Below are 7,778 nucleotides of genomic sequence, written 5' to 3' on the forward strand. Positions count from 1 at the left end.
CATAGTAATGGCAGTAAGAGGATGCATACATCTGGTTTCTAGTATTAGAACTCACTTTGAACACAGATATGCCTTCTAACTGTTTTTACATTTCAAAATCACTTTCATCCTATATTCACATTGTTAAACCTGATATTTTTGTTGTTGTTAAACTTGAAGGGTAAATTTTACTCTTTTAAAAACTCATTTGGCTTTTGATTACAAAATAAATATAATGTAATTTTCTCCAGGAGGCAAGGCTCCAAAGCTTAACCTGTCCCCATATTCTCCTGCCCAAACTCATGCAAAACTATCTTACCTCAAAGCTGACACATACTTTTAAACCTGCCTCTGTAAAGTCTTTATAAGGTGCTATGGTTTGAATGTTCCCTTTAAAACTCCTGTTGAACTTTAATTGCCATTGTGATGACATTAAGAAGTGGGATCTTTAAGAGGTGACTAGGCCATGAGGGCGAAGCCCACAATGGATTAATGCTATTATTGACAAAGTGAGTTAGCTAACTCAGAAGCTCAGTCTTCCTTTTCTCTCTGTCTCATGCATGCTTTAACCCTCCCCTGTCCTTCCTCTCCATGTGATGCTTTCCACCATGTTATGACACAGCAAGAAAGCCTTCACCAGATGCTGCCCCTTGATCTTGGACTTTCCAGCCTCCAGAACTATGAGTCAAATAAACTTCCATTATTTGTAAATTACCCAGTGTGTGGTACTCTGCTATAGCGACAGAAAACAGACTAAGACATGGGGCAGTTTTTAATTTTGGAATACTTTTATACTTCCAGGAAAGTTGTAATAATAATATAAAGAATTTCCATGTGCATCTCAAGTATTCCTCTAGTATTATCATTTTATCACACTTTCTTTGTCATTCACATATACAAAGATATACAATTTGTTTCCTAAAACAAATTCCTCCTACATACCTCTCCTACCTATTTCACCAAATTAGAAGATATAGGTCCCAGAGAGCAAATTTCAGACAGAATATTTCTTTAGCTTTACATACTGCAGTTGTAGTTTCTAAAAATCATGATATTCTCTTCAATAATCACAGTGCAATTACCAAAATCAGACAATTAACACTGATATAATATCATTACCATTACCAATACCAAAACTATTATCCAATTTGTGGACAATTTGTAGACAAATTACATATGCAGATTTTGCCAGTTGCCCCACTAATGTGCTTTACATTGTCCAGGGATAAATCCAGAATCACAAGTTACATTTGGTTGTCATGTCTGTTTGTTCTTCTTTAATCTGAAACAGTTCATTCTTTCTTTTATTTCATGATCTCAGTATTTGAATAATTCAAACTAGTTATTGTGTAGACAAACCTTTGATTTGGGTTAGTCTGATTACCCCTTCATGATTAGATTCAGATTATGCATTTTTGACAGAAATATCATAGAAATGTTGTTATGTCCTTCTCAGGAAGCACATGATGTCTATGTGTCCCATTATTGGTGATGTGAACTTTGATCATATAGTCGAGGTGATTTCTATCAGGTTTATCCAATGTAAAGAAAGTTTTTTCTTTGAAATTAATAAATATGTTGTAGAGATATACTTTGAGACAATGTATATTAAGTATCCTGGTTTTCATCATACTCTGATTTTCGAATCTGTTTATTTTTACCTGAAACAATTATTACTATAGGGACTGCCAAATGGTGATTTTCCAAGTCCATCATTTTCTCTATCTTTATTCTTTGGGATTCTACTATAAGGAAAAGAGTTCACTTCTCCATCATTTATTTCCTCATTTATTTACTTACATTAGTATGGACTTACAGATTTTTATTTTGTTATCTGGGTTATATTCCATTATCATCAATAGTCATGATGATACTCAGATTATCTCAAATGTAGGTAATGGAAGCCTCTTTAAGCAAGCTCCTGGGTCCTTTGCAACATGTCCCCTTTATTCTTTGATCACTTTCTTGCTTTGTGGCACAGAAATGTTCCAAGTTCACTTTGTACTTTTCACGCCCTGGACCTGGAATCAGCCACTTGTGCAAGGAGACCCAGATTCTTTTAGTGGAGAATGAGATTTAGAAGCCCAGATCTAGGTCCTAGGTATGCTCATTGCTACTGAAGTATTCTTTGAAACCTTTCAAGCATTCCTAATGACAGCTATTTTAGCTGACAGATGACTTTGGAACATCTATGAGTTAATCACCCAACAGTCTCACAACCACAATCTCTACCTATGTATTACAATAACTAGGTCTCCTTCACCCCAACTTGTCCAATTGGTATACTCGAGGGCTGTTTTCAGTCATTTGGGCTTCCTAAGGATCACTTTCTCCTGGGTTGTGTTATTAATCTCCATCCAAAAGGCGAGATAGATAAGAGAGCATTCCCATCTCCTACCTACCTCTCCCATTTTGCCAAATTAGAAGATATAGGTCCCTTTCTGCCTTGAAAATTTTCTCAATCCTTCCTCCTCTCTCTCATCCCTTTTTTCACACAAATGTCTCTCACCTACATTTTATCCTGGTATTTCTTAGAAGTGACTCTGCACAGAGCTTGCTTCTCAGGGTCTCTTTATAGACTCTGGCATTTGTGGCTGGGGAGAAAAAGGAAGTAGTATAGACATCACCTTTCTCCTTTCTCTGCTTCTCTGCCACAAAAACTCATCAAACATATCCCAGGGAACTTAGAAAATAGAGAGAAATCCATCAGACCCTGAAGATTGTGAGGTTTAAGCCTTGAGACCAGTAGAATCTCATACAAGACAACAAGTAATAGTCAAAGAAAACAAGGTAAAATCGACCATATAAAAGAAAACAAAATATAATTTTTTAAGATGACTTAAAATGTATTAGACTAAAAATAATGGGGCTCCCACACAGAGAATATATTTAGGTTTAGGGTTGCATGATGTGCAGAGATCACATCAAGGAGTTCAATTTTCCATCCACAGTTCAGAGGTTAGGCTTTAGACCGTCATGGCGGAAGTCTTCAGGGAATCATTTTGAAGATAGGGAAGCAGGAACTATAGTGAAAGGATTTTTATGTAACCATGATGTATCCCACACACCTGGAAGTAGAAAAAGCAAGGAAAAATTACAAGAAGTAGTATACGAGAGTTAACTTGGGTAGTATTGAATATCTCATTAGTAAAACACTTCTCTCTATGTGTATAGATAAGTTTCCCAGTGTATATACATACTTATTTATTTTCTCCACTGAAAGGCATTTCACTATAGAGAGATAACAGAAAGAAATATACAGTTGGCTCTTGAACAACATAGAGGTTAGGGTCACTGACCCCCTGTGCAGTCAAAAATGTGTATATAATTTTGACTCCCCCAAAACTTAACTACTAATAGATTACTGTTGACTGGAAGGCTTACCGATAATATAAACAGTTGATTAACATATATTTTGTATGTTATATATACTACCTACTGTATTTTTACAATAAAGTAAGATAGGAAAAACAAAACATTATTAAGAAAATCATAAGGATGTGAAAATAAATTTGCAGTAGTGGATTGTATTTATCAATACTGTAAGTTTATGTCGTCTGTTTACAAGATGAATTGCCTATCTGAAATGGTGGGCAACTGCACCTGACATCCTCAAGCTATGGGACTTATCAAGCAACTGAGCTTTTGCTTGTAATGTCATAACTTTTCTCTGCTTCTTGGAAGCACTTCCAGCATCACTAGTCACACTTCATGTGAGTCCCATGGTGTTATTCAAGGTGTATTATATTGTACTAAACATGATGAAAAATAAACAAGAAACTTGAGAGACAGCTTTTTACTGTGATACACAATTTACTGGAGAGACAAACTGCTTACAAAGAGATGATTAGCATTAGGTGGCATTTTAAGTGGATACTTGTAACACTTGAGCTCACCACAATAGCAACAAGAGGTGGCTATAAAACTATTACAGTAGTATAGTATGCACTACAGTTAATTTTATGAAGTTATGATTTAACACTACATCTTTTTATTTGTTTACATTTCTCTCAAGTACAAATGGCACCATATACAGTCTGTGTTTGTGTATGTAAGTTTTGATAAATGTTAACTTTTAATGATAGATTAGTGTATATTATGGTAGTAAGTGATAAAATAGACTACTGTCTACATATATTTTATGCATTTATGACATACTTTTTCTTGATTTTTTCTATATTGCTATGCTTTGCAGTTTGTTTGTTTTTTTTAATTGTCAAAATCTCCAAAAAATTTTTCAATGCGTTTATGGAAAAAGAATCCACTTATAAGTGGACCTATGAAGTTCAAACCTGTGTTGCTCAAGGGTCAACTATATATATTGCAATTTTAGGTTGAAAAATATATTTTATCATTTACATTTATTTTATTTTATCAAAGATATATCTTTTATTTTATAAAATATATATTTTATTTTATCATTTACATATAAATATATATATTATCATTATTTATATATTTTTTACATATATTATCATTTATATGTAATAATAACTTAAGAAATAAGCCTATATCCTCCAAGAGATTTACAGTACTTAATTGTTGTCCAGACCTGAGTTCAACCCAGTCAATGTTCTATGTGACTCACCTTCAGAAATCTCATGTTCTGTGGACTTGTTGCCCAGGTTGAAATCCCTGCCTTCCTGCAAAGATAGAAGAGAAGTGGGAAATATAATACATTTTCTCTTCTTTCCTGGAGCCATAACTCTCCCTAGACCATGGAGAGAAAATTTCATGTCCTCTATTCAAAGATGAGAAAAATTCTAGAGTTACCCTTACACATTCAAAAATCAAGAAGAACAGGAAAGCTGAGATAACCCACAGACTCTTTGAAGGAAGCAGATTGCTCCTGCAGGGCGCCTGGAGACAGCCAAAAAACTGTGAGTGCCCAATGTGTGAAAGGGGGATTGTCTGCCCCCAAACACACACTCTCACTGGGGAACCTGAAGTTCCAGATCACGGGTAAAGGATTTGATCTTACCTGGAGCTGAGACAAATTTAGAGAGCTGAGTGAAATACAGGGGTAGAAGAAGCAGTAGGAAGACCCCTGTGGGCTCTCGGTCCCCAAGGAAGTAACTTCCGACTTTGTCTTACAGAAGTCCTTGGGGAGGGCTGCCAGAGGAACCGGGAAGAAACCACACAGGGAAGGAAACTTCCAGCTGAACTTTGTAACAATTTCGACCGAATGCAAAGTTTCCCCGACAGAAATCAGGGGAGGGGTTGAATCAGGAGTGCAATCACAGCACAGAAGCCATGGTAGGTGGGGAGAGGTGAAATCTAAAAGCCCTGCTTGCTTTCTCAGCTGGGAGGCTGGTAGCCTGGGGCAGCTTTTCAGCCCTGCTCACCCACTGCCTGGAAATAAACTTGGTGCTGTTGAGGGAGCACAGTGAAAGTGAAACCAGCCTTTTGGGCTGAGTGAGGCCTATAACTGCCAGCTTTCACCCATTTCCCTGGTGGCCTGCATGACACAGCAGAGGCAGCCATAATCCCCCGGGGGCAGAATTCCACTGGCCTGAGAACCACACCCCCCCTCCCCCGCAGTAACTGCAGTAAGACCCGCCCAAGGAGAGTCTGAAATTAGACATGCTTAACCCTGCCCCCACCTGATGGTCTTTATCTACCTGCCCTGATAGCCCAAGAAAAAGGACTTAACCTCTTGGGAGCTCTAGGGCCCCACCTACCACCTGATGCTCCCTCTACTACCTCAGCTAATGCCCTCTTGAAAGTGCCACCTCCTGACTGGAGGCCAACCAACACAAAACTACTGCAATAAACAAAACTACAACTAAGAACGCTCACAGACTCTGTTTCACTCCTCTGCCACCTCCACCAGAGCAGGTGCTGGTGTCTACAGCTGTGAGACTTAAAGATGGTTCACATCACAGGACTCTGTGTAGACAATCCTAGTACCAGGCCAGAGCCTGGCAACTCTGCTGGGTGGCTAGATCCAGAAGAGAAATAACAATCATTCCAGTTTGGCTCTCAGGAAGCCACATCCCCAGGGAAAGGAGGAGAGCACTACATCAAAAGAGCACCCCATGGGACAGAAGAATCTGAACAGCATCCCTTGAGCCCCAAATATTTCCTCTGACACAGCCTACCCAAATGAGAAGTAACCAGAAAAACAATTCTGGTAATATGACAAAACAAGGTTCTTTAACACCCCCAAAAGATCACCAGCAATAGATCCAAACCAAGATGAAATCCCTGAATTGCCAGAAAAAGAATTCAGACGGTCAATTATTAAGCTAATCAAGGAGGAATCAGAGAAAGGTGAAGTCCAACTTAATGAAATCAAAACAGTAATACAAGATATGAAGGGAAAAATCATCAGTGTAATAGATAGCATAAATAAAAAGCAATCACAACATCTAGAAGTAAAGGACACACTTAGAGAAATGTAAAATGCACTGGAAACTCTCAGCAATAGAATCAAACAAGCAGAAGAAAGAATGTCAGAGCTCAAAGACAAGGTTTTTAAATTAACCTAATCCAACAAAGAAAAAAAACAAAAAAAATTAAAAAATGAACAAAGCCTCCAAGAAGTTTGGGGTTATGTTAAATGACCAAACCTGAGAATACTGGGTGTTCCCATGGAAAAAGAGAAATGTAAAAGTTTGGAAAACATATTTGAGGGAATAATCAAGGAAAACTTCCATGACCTTGTTAGAGATCCAGACATCCAAGTACAAGAAGCTCAAAGAAAATCTGGGAAATTTATCACAAAAATATCATCACCTAGGCATAGTCATCAGGTTATCTAAAGTCAAGACAAAGGAAAGAATCTTAACAGCCATGAGTTAAAAGCACTAATTAGATAACCTATAAAGGAAAACCTATCAGGTTAGCAGCAGATTTCTCAGCAGAAACCTTACAAGCTAAAAGGGATTGAGTCCCTATCTTCAGCCTCCTAAACAGAACAATTATCAGCTGCATACAAGAATTCTGTATGCAGTGAAACTAAGCTTCATTTATGAAGAAAATATACTCTTATTTAGATAAACAAATGCTGAGAGAATTAACCACTACAAGCTAGAACTACAAGAACTGATCAAAGGAGCTCTAAATCTTGAAACAAATTCTCAAAATACACCAAAATAGAACCTCCTCAAAGTGTAAATCTCACAGAACCTACAAAAAAAAAACAATAAAAATTAAAGAAAAAAACACAAGATATTCAGGCAACAAATAGCATGATGAATAGAATAGTACCTCACATCCCAATACTAATGTTGAATGTAAATGTCCTAAATGTTCCACTTAAAAGATACAGAATGGCAGAATGAATAAGAATACACCAACCAAGTATCTGCTGTCTTCAAGAGACTCACCTAAAACATAAGGATTCACATAAACTTAAGGTAAAGGGATTTACCTTTACCTTATTCCATGCAAATGGACACCAAAAGCAACAAGGGGTAGCTATTCTTCTATCCAAAAAAAAAAAAAAAACACTAAGGCAGCAGCAGTTTAAACTGACAAAGACAGATGTTATATAATAAAAGGATATGTCCAACAGGAAAATATCACAATCCTTAATATATATGCACCTAACACTGGAACTCCCAAATTAATAAAACAAATACTAGTAGACCTAGGAAATGAGATAGGCAGCAATACAATAATAGTGGGGACTTCCATATTCCACTGACAGTACTAGACAGGTCATAAAGACAGAAAGCCAACAAAGAAACAATGGATTTAAACTATACTGTACAACAAACATACTTAACAGATATTTACACAACATTCTACCCAACAACTGCAGAATATACATTTTATTCATCAGCACATGGAAC

At 37.0% G+C, this 7,778-nt stretch overlaps 1 long non-coding RNA gene across 1 annotated transcript, besides 1 other annotated feature; it reads right to left on the reverse strand.

The window, feature by feature from the left end:
* Positions 1–811: 811 nt before the first annotated feature.
* Positions 812–5,453, reverse strand: LOC100506253 (uncharacterized). Its single transcript, XR_109812.5, has 3 exons — positions 4,961–5,453; positions 4,568–4,622; positions 812–3,047 (listed from the first exon to the last, which is right to left on the reverse strand). It is a non-coding gene; the product is annotated as an uncharacterized LOC100506253 (long non-coding RNA).
* Positions 5,204–5,704: an enhancer, noted in NCBI's record as "H3K27ac hESC enhancer chr4:76106257-76106757 (GRCh37/hg19 assembly coordinates)". NCBI's record gives its function as "activates a minimal SCP1, AML or CMV promoter by ChIP-STARR-seq in naive H9 embryonic stem cells {active_cell/tissue: H9 hESC(naive)}" and the evidence as "EXISTENCE:reporter gene assay evidence [ECO:0000049][PMID:30033119]".

This window comes from Homo sapiens, chromosome 4, assembly GCF_000001405.40.
Source record: "Homo sapiens chromosome 4, GRCh38.p14 Primary Assembly".
NCBI classification, from domain to species: domain Eukaryota; kingdom Metazoa; phylum Chordata; class Mammalia; order Primates; family Hominidae; genus Homo; species Homo sapiens.